This window comes from Homo sapiens, chromosome 7, assembly GCF_000001405.40.
Source record: "Homo sapiens chromosome 7, GRCh38.p14 Primary Assembly".
Classification (NCBI taxonomy): Eukaryota; Metazoa; Chordata; class Mammalia; order Primates; family Hominidae; genus Homo; species Homo sapiens.
This window is the reverse complement of record NC_000007.14, coordinates 96,588,266-96,603,311: the sequence shown is the minus strand read 5'-3', so window position 1 is coordinate 96,603,311 and position 15,046 is coordinate 96,588,266. Positions and strand designations below refer to the sequence as shown.

The 15,046-nt window shown below is 37.8% G+C and overlaps 1 protein-coding gene across 4 annotated transcripts in view, besides 4 other annotated features; it reads left to right on the top strand.

Moving 5' to 3' along the window:
* Positions 1-15,046, top strand: part of SEM1 (SEM1 26S proteasome subunit) — a 228,221-nt gene that overhangs the window by 106,535 nt on the left and 106,640 nt on the right. The window lies entirely within an intron of this gene.
* Positions 6,272-7,188: an enhancer, noted in NCBI's record as "eDlx#14 fragment used in the reporter transgene". NCBI's record gives its function as "activates a minimal E1b promoter in the forebrain, olfactory bulb and trunk of transgenic zebrafish {active_cell/tissue: forebrain | olfactory bulb | trunk}" and the evidence as "EXISTENCE:transgenic organism evidence [ECO:0001131][PMID:22914741]".
* Positions 11,050-11,549: an enhancer, noted in NCBI's record as "eDlx#16 fragment used in the reporter transgene". NCBI's record gives its function as "activates a minimal E1b promoter in the forebrain, olfactory bulb and caudal fin of transgenic zebrafish {active_cell/tissue: fin | forebrain | olfactory bulb}" and the evidence as "EXISTENCE:transgenic organism evidence [ECO:0001131][PMID:22914741]".
* Positions 11,050-12,019: a biological region, named in NCBI's record as "eDlx#16 enhancer in SHFM1 region".
* Positions 11,112-12,019: an enhancer, noted in NCBI's record as "OCT4-NANOG-H3K27ac hESC enhancer chr7:96220605-96221512 (GRCh37/hg19 assembly coordinates)". NCBI's record gives its function as "activates a minimal SCP1, AML or CMV promoter by ChIP-STARR-seq in naive H9 embryonic stem cells {active_cell/tissue: H9 hESC(naive)}" and the evidence as "EXISTENCE:reporter gene assay evidence [ECO:0000049][PMID:30033119]".

Below are 15,046 nucleotides of genomic sequence, written 5' to 3'. Positions count from 1 at the left end.
TATACTCAGTGTGTTTGGTAACTGGTCAACCATTCTCCCACTTAGAAGTTTCTTATCATTGCCTTTAAGACCAATAAGCACAAAATCTCAGAGCAGGAGGGTATATTTGAAATCCCAAATGAGAAAAATATGCCTTGCTCAAAGCCAGGCAGCCCAGCATATTGCTTTAAAGTTATGGCTCATTTGCAAGTTCTGTTCACTCAACGCATAGAGCTACCTTCCAAGTGAACTGTCAGGTTAAAAACTAAACTTATTATTTTTTATGTTCCAATTAATACACATTTTTATGCTGCTATGAAGGCACAGTAATCATGATTGATGCCTGGGACCTCAATCCTTCCAGATTTAGCTGAGTACTTTATCCTGATTGTTTCTCCATCCTTTTCCCCTTGATTTATTTGCCTTCTCTCTGGCTGTACGTCACCTTCTATTTGATCATTTGTAAAATGTTTGCTACTATTTCAAAGCTGAGCAAGATTGAGGAAGTTTCCATTAATTTCTTAAATGGAAGAAAATGTTGAAATAATCACGAATCAATTTTTTAAAATTTATTTGTCATTCTCAGTACCATCTGTCCCCTTATTTCTCTAGGTGAGAAAGTCAGATTCAGATTTACCAATGGACCCAATATCATCTCATGAAAATGCTGGCTGAATTTCCCAAATACAATTAGGGGAAAAACTAGATTTGCTCAAGGCAGGGGTTACTACCCATCAGTGGGAGGTAGAAATATTGGTAATATCTATATGCATGGGCATATACCAGGACTGGCAAACTTGAATGCCTTTGGAGTATAGGCAGGTGATATGAATGAGTAAAACCAGTCTGACGGAGATATTGGTGAGCTGAAGAGTGCATAGCCTGTCTAAATGGATCAGGTTAGGGAGGGTGGAGGTAGTACAGGGAGGAGAATACAAATCAATTATTCAGCCCCAGCTGCTGATGCCATGCAGAAATGTGGGGTCATATTTTCCACATCATCCCATTTTCAACAGAGGAAAGAAATCTGGATATTCTGACACATTTCTTATTTTCCAAATTTCTTAACATTAAAGTCTGGTCCTCTGTTATCCCCACTCATTCTTTTGAACTGTTATTCAGGCTTATGTCATTAAACACCTCTTCTTACCAATGGCTCCCAAATTTATATCTTCAACCAAGAAGCTTTCCTAAACTCTGACTTGCATATCCACTATCCTCTTTGACATCTCCACTGAGATGTCCAACAGACATTGTTAATGTAACATGGTGAAACTGAACTCCTGATCTTTCCTGCAAAAGTTTCTCTACCCACAGCTCTCCCCATCTCCCTGATGGCAGTATCATTCTCAGGCCAGAAATTCCAGAAACTCTGCAGTCATTTTTCACTTCTTTCCACATCCAATGTAATAGACCTTTTTGTGTTTACCTTTTGAAACACTCACACTCCCACAATTTTTCATAACCTTCACTGGTACCTCCCTATCCAGCATCATTTTTCATTTTGCAGTACTTCAAAAGATTTCTGTTTGGTCTTCCTGAGTCTATCCTTATCTCTTTCCCTACAGCCTATTTTCAACAAAGAAACCAGAGTAATTATATTTAAATATAAGTTAAATCAGGTCATCTGCTATATACCTTGCAGTGTTCCCAATCTCAGTGACAGTAAAAGTTGGCCCTTAGAAAAGCTCATAAGGCCCTACACCATCCAGTCCCTCATCAATTAACTCACCTGACTTTTTACTACCTTTTCAGTTGCTTACACCACTCCAGCCCCAGGGTCTCCTTGTTATTCCCCAAACAAGCACCCATGCTCCCACCTTAGAGACTGGGCACTGGCCATTCCCTCAGCCTGGAACATCCTCACTGCTCATGTTTATAGAGCTGACACCCTCACCTCCTGCAAGAGTTTGTTCAAATTCTTCCTCCTCAACAAGGCATCCCATAGCCCACCCCATCCTCCTTCTAAACCCCTATTACCCCAATTGACTTTTTTTCTTAGCACTCACTTCCTCAGATACTATATGTTAATCATTTAGTATGTCTTTTATTTATTGTTTTTCTCTCCCTGCTAGAATATAAGTTCCATGAATGCAGCTTTGTCTGGTTCCTTAATGAACTCCAAGTTCCTGAAACAGTACCTGGCACATGCCCAATAGATAATTGTTGAATGGATTTTTAAAACTTGGGAATTATTTAAACAAACAAATACAAAGTGTGTGGGCCAAACAAAAGAACCCACAGGTCAAGCCTATGGACAACCTACTGGGGATCTCTGGTTATGAGAAGCAGAGCAGCCCCTTCATCCTTCCTCCTCCAACATCCCTGGTCTACCCAATCTGTACAAGCATCTCTTCTTCTATTCCAGATTTCAAAAGCAAATAGTATACCAAATTAGTGTGTGTGGAGTGTTGGGTCTAGACATATCCTTGACTTCCTCTCTGCCTCCTATTTCTTCCACTACTCTCTCCAAACTTGCTCCATCCAGAAAACAACATTGCAGACTCCATCCTGGAGACAGGGCTGAGGGAGACATCCAGGAAGAATGCAATGTGCCCACTGTAATACTTGCCTACCTACCTCCTCTGTTGTTGAGGCTAGAACTGAGCATCACTAGCCAGAGCACTCACCTGTCAGGATGTCATTACCGTTGCTTTAAATCATGTTTTACATTCAACGTTGAAAACCAAGGTGACATGGCATGGTGAATTCCAGAGCAAACAGACCCAGTTGAAATTCTGCCTCTGCCCATCACCGTGGGCACCTTACTCACACTCACTGAGTTGTAGATTCCTCATCTGTTTGAGAGGAGTCATCATAGATGAGGATTAAATGGGATAATAAATGCCAAATGCTTGGCATATAGTAGATGCTTGATATTTTCTTTTCTTTCCACCAAACCAAATGTTTGCTAACTCATTCTAGAAAGTTTGGTTCCTCCCCTTCTGCTAAATCACTTTCAGCAAAATTATAGCTTTCTTTGAATCTACTGCCTATATCATAAATATTTCCTAAATTCTGGAGTCTGTTCTCAAACATTTCTCTCCAAAACATTCTTTAAAATTCTATGTTTCTCTCCCTCACTTAAAAATACTGCTGTTGCTACATAAGAATTAACCTTTTCAGAGACTTGCATGGCTTCTGTATATTTGCTACTTAAGACTTCAGCACAAAGACCAAATATATAGACTGATTAAAATAAAGGCAAATCAGAAATGGCATTTAAAAGTATGTAAATTCACATTTTTAAAGTTCCAGACTAATTTTTAAAGCACTCTCTGTCCCACCCCAAAAGGTTTGGTTGCTGGTTTTTGTCTAAATTAATCCAGTAGCAACAGACTCGCGTGTTCCTGTGTGACCTGGAAATTCCCAAGTAATCACTTTTGAGTAGCAGATGTTTAGATAAGCTAACATGTTCTTAAGGAAATAAATCCTTTTATGATGATTTCAGAATGGATCTGTATATTTGGCTCAATACTTTAGGGGAACTGCATTCTCCAACAGGTGAAAATAAATACATGCAGAGCCAGGGCTTAAGTCAAAAGAAGAGAATCTGGCACCTATTTTCTAGTGACTACATAAAGACAGGCCAGGGCGCTGACCCCAGGATGCGTGTGGGTCAGAAGGGCAGGAAGGGAATCTGCTAGTCCTCTTGTTCTCTTTTAAAGTCTTGTAAGAGCTAAATTCATGTCATTTTTAAAAGAGGGCTTGAGAAAGGAAGCATTGTCAGAAAGATAACTTAATACTTACAATACTTATAAAGATGAGACATTATCATGCTGTGTGTTGAAGCAAGTGGGGACGTAATACAACCTGATACCAGTCTCATCAGCAAATATTTGTTAGGTATCCTTGGGAATGAGGCAAGTAGCCGATAAGCAGATGGACACAGAGGAGTGTTGGAGTGACCCCAGACATTTAGGTAAATATGTTGGCAGGGAACTATTTATTATTACTCTGGGTTTTGTTTTGCTGTTTGTTGTTTTGGTTTGGTTTTTACTAGTCCTCTGTCCCTTCAGTTTCTGCAAGAAAAGGCTTTCAGTCACCAATACCTTTGTAGAAAGAAAGAGAGAGAGAGAGAGAGAAAGGCAAAAAATACTTGTTCATTAGCTTTTTCCTTCAGGCAAAACCAAGTGCTATGCTTTAGCACTCCACACCTGATAAAGCCCTAAACCTTCCATTGTGACAGGCCGCAAAGAGAAAGGCAAGCAATCTCTGCTCTAAGAGAGCCTCTTCCTTTCCTTTTTCCTTCCCTTCCTTCTTCCTTCCTTCCTCCCTCCCTCTGCCCCTCTAGTTTTCTCATTTCTTTTCTGTTTTTCCCCCTTTCTGTTGGCACAGCTTCCCTCTTGGTTGTATCTCTCTTTGCTTGAACTTTTCTAATACTTTATGTTTATCCACAAACCTCGTGCAATTTTCTCAACAAGAGAGATTATGGAGGTACTGCACATACCTACACAATTTTGCTCACATCAGGATGGAAGTTTAAAAAAATTTTTTTAATCTAATTTTATTTAACAGGCAAACAACAACTTCAGTCAAGATCATAGACCCAACGTTTTCCACAAAGTGAGCATATAAACTCAGTGGTCTGGGGCCTGTGGTCAAAAAGACATGGTAGTTCTACACTCTTCAGATCTTTCCAATTAGAACTTGAAAGCCCATTTTCCTCCCAGAGAAATGCCAGATGCATTCTTCTTTAATGAGCTTAGGACCAAAACTGCAATATGATCTCCTGCTTCAGGTGGAACATGGATAACAACTTAGAAAGAAAAGAGAATGGGGTCTGCAAGAGGATGTAGATTGAAGGATTACCTTAATTAAATGTAAAAGTAGGATCAGAGAGGTTGGAAGACCTTAAAGAAACATTAGTTCTGTGGTCTTAGAGACAAAGCCATGTAGGGCAGCTGTTCCTCTATTTGGGGGAAAAAAAAAAAAAAATCCAAGTCTGAATCTTTATACAATATTTAAAAAAAATAAGGTAGCCATGACAAACACCCCATACAATATTTAGTTCTCAGTTGGCTTTTGCCTCTTCTAATTCTGTGCATTCTATCCAGCTCAAACTCATAAATTAGATTTTTCTTTCTAATAATCCCTGACTCTACCAGTTCATTATCTTTTTTTGAGTTTTAAAATTCAGGGTGCAGGTAGATAACAATTTAAAGTTTAATTCAAATGAAAGTATTTATAGTTTGGCTCAGCATATTTTGTATGGTGTTTCTAAGAGTGACCAGGACTTTAAAATGTTGCGATTTGGATTAAATAAATTATAATTCATTCAAAAACAAGAAATTATGCAGCTATGAAAATGACTGAGGAAACCATGTACTGAGATAAATTTAAGTCAAAGATATGTTTAGTGACAAAGTAAGATGCAAAACAGCATGCAGAGCATATTGACTTTTGCATTAAAGTAGGTGAGAACTATATATATGTGTTTGTTTACTTGGATGTACAAAAAGAAATATAAGAAAAACACACACGAAACCAATAACAATATTTAGGGCATGAACAATGGGCAGAAGATAACTAGGTGGATTGGGTACAAGAGTGAGGAGGCATTTTACTGTATACAGTTTTAGATCCTTTAACCATGTGACTATGTGTGTGTGCATGTGTATGTGGTGTGTGTGTGTGTATATATATATATATATATCATATATACTATATGAGAAATTTATATATAATTGTAAAGTTCTTCACTAAACCAAAACATAAATAAAGTGCAGGAGTCCAAAAAAATTGCAAGCTGATGAATCTATGGGAAGAATATATAATAGTGACCTGTATTTTATGTGCAAACCCTGTCATCTTGTGTCTTGCTAATATCTCAAGGATAAGCTACCAAATGCCTACAGTTTGACCACTAGGTAAAAGGAGAGATCAGGAAACTTCAGAAAACACAACCACCTGATAATCTTCTTAAGGGCATTTGGAATGCTCAGTGATCCACGAATGTCAAGGCAAACTTCTGATATGCCTCTTCCAAGTTCCATATAAATCTCTTTATCTAAGGTAAACTTTGGGTCAGTAAGAAATGCCAGGGACCTTTGTTTTATGCTCCTGAGTGTTTTAGATGCATTATTTCACGTATACTCCTAATAGTTCAAGACATATACAGCATTTCTAATATCTTTTCGTAAGCAGAGATGGTTAAGGCATTGAATAATCCGGCCCTGACTATGACAGTATGCTCAGTGGCAAAGGAGAAAACACTTTAGTTTGATTCCTAGCCATAGCATTACAAGGATTCAAAGCCTTTCACCTCCTGTCCATTTCTATGTTAGTTTCCCCTCAAAACACTCCCCATTCTCCTGTTACAATACCAGCTTCAGTGTAATTTTATAGCTCATTTCTTATGTACCTAGATTCCTTTCTTTTTTCAGATGGCATATTTGCCTCTGATATCTGGGGAATGCTTATCATTGGAATTATTAAATGTACAAGCTGACACAACAAACCACCAATTTGTTATTTTGATGAAAATATTTTTGTATTTTCAGCAGATGGCTAAAAAATGTTGCCTTTGTTATACAGTCTTTGTTTTGACAAAGACAAAAAAGAGAGAGAAAGAAAGCTCTGGATCATTTTTCCAGTGAAACTTAATCTAAAACCAAACAATTTAGCACGTGACTTCTGAGTGTGTTCCATGTGTTTCTAGAGCCCATTTCCCTGGCAACCTCCACACTCTCCCAGCTGTAGAGGTCAACACAATAGACTTGTCACAGGTTTTAAGTCGGGTAACCACTTTTAATTTGGAGAAATTATTACCCGGGGAGAAAATAGGCTGGTCCTATACTTCAAAGAAAAAAATAGAAATCAAGATGCACACGGCCTCCTGAATTGGACCGACTTAATGGTGCTGTGTGCCTCATAAGCAGCTGTTCAAATAAGTAGCTGCCCAGAGGAAATGTATATTCAAATGCTTCTTGTCATTTGCTTCTCCTTGCTTCACACCTAAAAGCCAGATGCAAGCTCTTCCAGGGCTAACAAATAGATGCCTTCTGGTGGCTCATTATGGTAATTACTGGCCATATATTACTGCCATGTGAAAAGGGTTGTAAGGCAGGCCAGCCCAGGGGCATTTACAAGTGGTTTATTTGTGTTGAGCTATTAAGAATCCGCCAGTTATCAGATCAACCACTGCTCTTTGGGTTTTACAAGCAAGTTGTTCCCTAACAATCTGATCCTTCATCTGCTACCTTTGTGATATGTTTAAGCACCACTTAGAGACCTAACATACTGCTTAGGAAACTTACTTTACCTGTTTGCAAAGAATTTCCAAAGTCCACTGCATCCTATGAACAGTTTCTGCATGAATCCTTCCCAACTCCCTCCCCTCCACCCTATGCCTGCAAAGGCTGCATAGCTTGCTCTATTCTTTGATCGAAGAGGTGTGTAACAGGGCTACACACCTCTTTGTTGGCCATAAGCACCTTCTTGGTGTAAATGAACATGGATGCAACCGAGTTTTATGAGTTTGGACAACCTCAGCGTTCACTTCAGGTTATGATGAGTCTGAAGCTCATTACAAGTTAGGGGGAAAGTCTTCTTTAACAAACAGAATAGAACACTTATGAATATAAAATTAAGCACAGAAATGAATATTTGGAATAAGAAACAATTTTTTAAAAGCTGAAAATCTATAAACATCTGGCCCTAAAAAAAAAATCTAAAAATCGAAAAACAAAACAAAGAAGAATAACATGACTTTTAGAAATTAACTTCCCAACTTTCCTATAATGCTGTTGTTCTTACTTTGGGGACAACAGAGTCTTTGATTGCCTTTTCATATGACAATGGTTTGTTTGTTTGTTTTGTGTTTTTGTGAGATGGGGTCTCACTCTGTCTGGAGTGCAGTGACGCAGTCATGGCTCACCACAACCTTGACCTCCTGGGCTCAAGTCATCCTCCCACCTCAGCCTCCCAATTAGCTGGGACTACATGTGCACACCACCATGCTGGACAGTTTTTTAAGTTTTTGTAGAGATGGGGTTTTGCCATGTTGCCCACACTGGTCTCAAATGCCTGGGCTCAAGTGATCCTTCCACTTTGGCCTCCTAAAGTGCTGGGATTACAGGTGTGAGCCCCTGTGCCCGGCCTAACTATTTTTATATAGAGAAAAGAAAGATGATTCAGACTTTATTTAGCATCATTGATTAAAAAAAATATTACCTAGTTTGAGAAAAGTTCCTTTCAGCTTCATGATATAGAAGCTTCATGTAAATTCTAAAAATTTTTAGAATTCTGTTAAATTTGGGGAAATGTTCATTAAATTTTTTATATATGAGCTATAATATTTCAGGGCATTTTAAGTTTTATTTTGCAGTAACTAATCTTAAGTACACTTTGACTTGAAATATATTCATTTTTATAGATGACACCAGTGAAATATATCTTTCTTAATAAACTACTCCTTTTGTTTTAATCTGAAAATTCTTTTGTTTATGTAGCTGCTCTGTATCACAGTAATTTCTATTGATTTCATCACTCATTTTTAGTGTTTTTAGTTTCATATTCCATTATTTTTTCTGAATTTTCTTTTAGTTTTGTAATACATTAATAGATGATAAAAATGGTACTCTTCGAAAACATTCAAATCAGGAGAATACTGAAAAGAAATTCTCACTTGTTTTATTAAAGCATTTCAAAACATTTTACCAAATTTGTTTCTCAGTGTTAGAATAATTTTGCCAATTAACAAAAAACACTTAATATTTGGAAGGTGCCCATGCAAGCAAGAGACCATGAAGCTTAAGCTTCATTAGAGTTATAAAAAACAATCTGCTTTTGGGCCTTTAAGAGATAAGCTGATAGACAGGACTCACTTACCTATGCATCCCTGCTCCATACAGTCTATTGCCAAAGACATAGTCATTCAATTTAAATTTGGAAACAGGAGCTTCAAGCTAATTTTTTTTTAATGGTGGGGGGGTTTTCATATTCCCAGAATCCTCAGAGGATGTGGGATGGGGAATAGAGTGGGAAGGAGCTCTTGGTGTGGGAAGTGGGTGGCAGAAAAATGAGAAGAAATGGCTCTTGGAAACTGTCCACTTTTCAGCCTGGTGTCAGGACCTACAAGCTTATTTACACTCTACTTCTAATGGCAGGCATTTGGTTGTTGCAAATGCATAAATCTGCTTCTCACAGGAGACAGAATATTCAGCACATTTTTGGGGGCTGACATTATCTCACTAATTATAACAGCAAAATTAGAAATAATCTAAATATAAAAAAGCCAAGTGTTGGTTAGATGCCTTATTACATATCTACATAATGGACGCATGCAACATCTTAAAATGTTCCCTAATACTATATCTATTGATTTGAAAATTGTTAATAATATATTTTTCATGAAACAAAATAGATACAAAACAATATGAGGGGTAAAAATTCCAGTTTTGCTTATTAAAAAAAAAACAAACCCAACTTTTTATCTACATAGTCAACATAGATGTTATAAGTACCAAAGTGTTGAGAGTAGTTGTCTCTGGGCAAGTAGAATTGAAAGATTTGAAACTTCTCTTTAAAAAAAAAATGCTTATTCATATCAGTCATTCTTTTTCCTAACGACCTTCTTTCATTTTGGTAATGGGAAAATATTTCTAATGCAAATAAGGAAAATATCACTTTGATATTGGATTTCTTTAGTCTTTGCCAATAAAATAATTATCTGAAATTTAAATTTGTGTATGCAGTTTGATATTCATGTTAAAGCCCCATTTTCTGGAGGTCTTAATCTATTTCTAAGAAGAATTACTCTCCAGCATTTACTATAGCAAGAGGAGGGAGGTCAACTTCACATACGGCACACTGGGTTCTGCAAATTTCATCTGATTGGGGAACAGGCCAACATACCAAAAAATTAGTTCCAGGTGGCTGTAAGAGAAATGTTTTATGTTTAATTGAATTTTTCTAGGAGGTATGTATATGTAAAGTATTCTCTGGAAAAGGTTATATTTAGTCATTCACACTTACATGTATAGTCAAGAAAACATAGTACCCCCTAAGAAATGTAGGGTATGTGTAGATATTCTGCAGTGATTTGAGTTGCCATCAAGCAATATGTGTTGTTGTGAACGCAATATCAACCAGCACTTAGAATCTGGGAAGCTCAGAATGCACTCTTTTACATAACCTTACTGTATCTTTGGAAGAAAATGCAAAAGAAACATTGAGGAAACTTCTTAAAATGCACATTCCAAGGTCTCTCGCAGATATTCAGATTCAGTAAATCTATCATGTGGCCCAGGAATGGACAATTTGAATGGGGGCCCCTACTTGGAGAAATGACGTTTTAAGAAAGTGTGCCTTTTTTTTTTTTTTTTTTTTTAATATGGGAGAATTACAGCAGAGAGGAGGGAAGAGCCTTCTCTAGAGCTTCAAGGACGGTAATATGTGGAAAACAGACAAGAAGGGTTGCTTTTGGTCCTAAACTTTCTCCGTTCCTTCTTTACCAGCTAACAAACATGCCCCCTGAGTTGTATAATATGAACCCTTCGACCAAATTAATCGATGCCTCAAAACTGGTCCTCTGGCAGTTACCGAAATCATGCTGTGTGGAAAAACAATCCTTTTCTCCTCAGAGGAGCTTGAAACCCTGTTAAGAAAATGACTTAGGCCATACTTAAAAACCTGCCACCTTCAACCTTCTAAATCTCTGCTCCTACAGATTGCTGCCCCGAATACGTGTGCTTTGTCTCTGCTTGTGCTAATGGTTTTCTGTGTTCCGTTCTCCAACGGAAGACAGCACGTGACAGCCGGTGTCATGGTGCTGCTGAAAAATGCATTCTCCGTGCCCAGGAAGAACCTGTATAAATATTCTCAATAAATAAATAACAGTTGTCATTTTCAGAATATGACAATCTCCAGCTGCCTGTGCTTAAAGTGAGCGATGTGTCATTTAGCCTAATAGATGTGAATGCACGTATTGTACATACAAGTGACTCACCTAATTCTTATTCACTTCAGTCTTGGTCTCAGTTGGGGGCAAGTGCCTCTAACAGGGTTTGGCTGGATCAAATCACAAGCTGAAAAATCTTGGTCAATTATCGAAGCCCGAGGCTAAGGAGGGAGTTGTCTTTTCATACCTCCTCACAGACCCCTCCTCTTCCCGGGCTTACCTAAGACGCCAGTCAACCTCCCATTGACTGGCGTCTTAGGTAAGCCAGTCATCCCATCTGTGGAATTTCTGGGACTCTTTCTCCCCCCTGTAATTTAATGTGACTCAGTTGTTCTCTGTCCTGATAATACCAGTGGTGAGAAAGTCGCTTAATCCTACTGGCATCCCCTCTTGTCAGCACCTCTTTATTTCCCTCTTTAAAGGCTCAACATGTTTTGATTTACAATACTCACCAAGATAACTGCAGGTGCCCTCTCTAAAAAGCAAGGTTAACTCACCTGAGATGAATTCTTTTATTGTAAACAAAAGCAACACATGAGCAGGAAATACAATTAATACAGGTGCTTCTCTGAAATTTAGCAAATGTCTGTTGTTTTGAAAGGAAAAAAAAAAAAAACTCCATTGCCTGGAGGTTTGTGTCATGCCATTTCAGTGAAGAAGGGATTTGAATTAGAATACATTTGAAGGAAAAAGGAATAGCCCTCTATGTTCAGGAAAGGCCCCAACAAAGACCCCATGTAAGGAACTATAAATTGTTTAAGGACTCAGGTTATTCAGGGGTAAGCAAAGTGTTGACCCAAACTGATGCTAATGTCTGAATTTCTGGGTAGAAGCCATCTGATGAAATCATCAGTTTTATATGGAGTGCATGTGTAGAGCTAGCTATATTGTTGCTAAGTAACTTTTTAAAGTACTCCAGTTAAGGCAACCTTTGTAGAACCTGTCATTTGACTCTCCTTGGAAATATATAATGAATATATTAATTCAAGGGAAGTGTTTTTAACTCTGTTAGAGGGAGGCAGATGTGCTAACTTTCTCTTCAGTTTGCTTGAGGTTCAGAGTTCGCCATTCTGGTGGTTGACAGTTCGTTGTTTTAAAACCTCAGAAGTTAACCGAAAGTCTTTTATTATGAAGAGTAGGTAAATCTTTTCAGGTGTTGCTGAAGAGATTTGCTGTTCGTGTAAAGAAATGATCAAAAAAGGAAATCAAACAAAATAAATACTGCAGTCCTACCAAACAGCTTAATTTTGTGAATCTTGTGTAGTTAGAGAAAATTAAGATTAAAAGCCATGAAAAACAAAAGGGGGAAATTGTAGACTTAACAGGAACACCTGACAAGCCATTACAATTAAATTGCCAAGTATATTACATCTATTTTTAAAAATCTTGATCACTTCTCTAAACAAGTAATGTTTCTTCTGCCTTTTAAATCTTGGTCCTGGTATTCGTTTACTTTAGATAGTTTCATCAAGAAAAGTGTTACTTTTCACCACTGGCTTGGGGTCCTTTTTCATATGCATTCACCTAGGGAACCACATTCCTATGTTTGTAACCCCGACCCTCCCTCTGACAATCTTCTTCCTCCACAGAGCACACACATAAAATTATGTTTCTACAAATGATTTTGGCATAGCCACACTTCCTCAATGGCGAATCTACCTGCTCTTGGAATGACAAGATGACAAGACTGCATGCTCAATTACACCTGCTCCTCTTTTTAAGTAATTGCCTTAGATCTTGCCAAATTATGTTGCTAGTTTTCTCAGGCACTCTAATTTAAATTAGAATGAAGCTGCTAAACTTTTATCAATTACTACATCCTAAGCAATGTCTTTGTTTTCAAGAATTCTATCTTTCATGACCCAATTACAAATGGCTAAAGAATCCTGCAGTTTCAGACCCCAGTATATATAATCATTACGTTTCCTTAAGCATAGTCTGTATATATAACTGGTTTTTCTGTATCTGTACTTTTATATAACAAAAAAGAGTGCTTGTTCGTGGAGTTTCCTGTGACTTGTAGAAATAAAAATGGCAAAGGAGTTAAGTTGCCAGATCTAGCAAATAAAAATACAACATGCCTAGCTGAATCTGAATTTCTAATAAAAATGAACTATTTGTTAGGATAAGTGTGTCCCCTGCAATGTTTGGGACATAATTATACTAACAAAAATTTCTTGTTTATCTGAAACTCAAATTTAAGTAGGCACTCTGTATTTTATCTGGGAACCCTAAAGTTGAGTAAAGCCAAAACTGATTTATATTTATGTGTTTCTATGAGTAATATTTTACCGGGAAATGAATGAGTTATATTTCAATTTTGATATTGGGGAAATATGAGATGATTAATTTAAATAATTGGTAAAAAATAAAATATAATTGGCAAGAAATATTAGCCTGAATGGGGGTTTCATGCCTTTTTTTGCATTCTAGTAAAATATAAATTTTCTCTGTATGCATAAATGTGAAAACTCCATTGTTTTCTGCCTGAATTAGCATTTGTTATTTTTGTGCATGACCCTCTAAAACACTTTCCATTACTCAAGTCATCTGCAGTCACTCAAAACTAGTGAAGCCTTATGAGAAAAGCAAATGGAGAAATAGTAGTCTAATTAAAATTAGCTCAGTTTGAGGAAGAAGGGACTCTGCTTTAAATTGGGACTGTCATAGGAAAAATATTAGGAAACAAATACCTCAGGTAATTTTCAGAGTCCAAGATAATTTCTTTTCAAAATCATAATTTCAGTACAGAATGTTCTAATATTTACCTTTTTTAGTGGATGGGAATTTAATACCTGCAAACATTATAAATTATAAATGTAGGTTGTAAATGACCTTATGTCACTGGAGATGGGAGAGGGAATGAGGGTTGGATGTCTCAGCAGTGGCAGCAGGTGGGGGTACACACAATGGAGTTACACACAGGGACTGCCAGGTGCTTTGAAAATGGTTCATCCTGTGGTCTCACTTCAGCCTCGGGGGTATCCCTAAAAGGTAGTTACTTATGTGGTCTTACACTTGAGATCAGCTCAGCAAGAAGCACATACAGTGACCGAAGAGCACAGCCTGGATTCAAACCCAAGCCTCAATGTGTGCTCTAATCCGGGGATGGGCCGTTTCCACTCCCAGTGGGTTGAGTACCAGAACCACCTGGAGGGCCTGGTAGCAGGCGCCACTCTGTCCAGGCATGGAGGCAGCCAAGCAGAATGAGTCACCCCACCCTAAACTCAGGGGAGGACAATGGGAAGGCAGCAGAGGGCAGGTGGAAGGAGCTGAGAGACCAGGTCAACAGGCCTCTCAGCCACAAGCCCTAAGCAGTGCGGTTCCCACACCTGGGTGCAGCCTTCAGGCAGGCAATAGCCATCATCAGAGGCAACAGCCATCATCAGAAAACTTTTACTTTTATGGTTCATGATCATTAGAAAAATACTGTAGTTACAAAATCAGTTGAATGCATTTTCTCCTTATGATTTCTTTCCTCACAAATTTTATACTATAAGCCAATTTAAAAAAATGGTTTACATATACCCATGTGCTGCAAATTATTTTGATTATTAGAATTTTACACATTTCAAGTTTTATCATCTGTGTGCTAATATTTATTCTATGTATGAATTGGAATGATTCTTATTTATATTTCTTTCTTTCTTTACTATTACTTTTTGAGACAGGGTCTTGCTCTGTCACCCAAGCTGGAGTGCAGTGGTGTAATCACGGCTCACTGCAGTCTCCATGTCCTGGGCTCAAGCAATCCTCCTGCCTCAGCCTCCTGAGCTACCACATCTGGCCTATTTTTTCTTTATATTTAACATCTGTCTCTTAATAATCCTCACTGTCTTTTTTTCTTCCTTATTATTTAAATACATAGAGTTCAAAATGGAAAGAAAAGAGAGTAGTGGTACTTCTATCATTATGATGAAATGAGCTTTTATTATCAAATAATATACCTATCATGTCAAACCTAATGTTGTCACTATAATTTTGAAGTTCCCAAAATGATATACCTTTCTTCTCTCTCTCTCTCTCTCTCTCGTGTGTGTGTGTGTGTGTGTGTGTGTGTGTGTGTGTGTGTGTGTTTGTTTTTAGACATGATCTTGCTCTGTTGCACAGGCTGGAGTTCAGTGGTGTGATCGTGGCTCATTGCAGCCTCCACTTCCTGGGCTC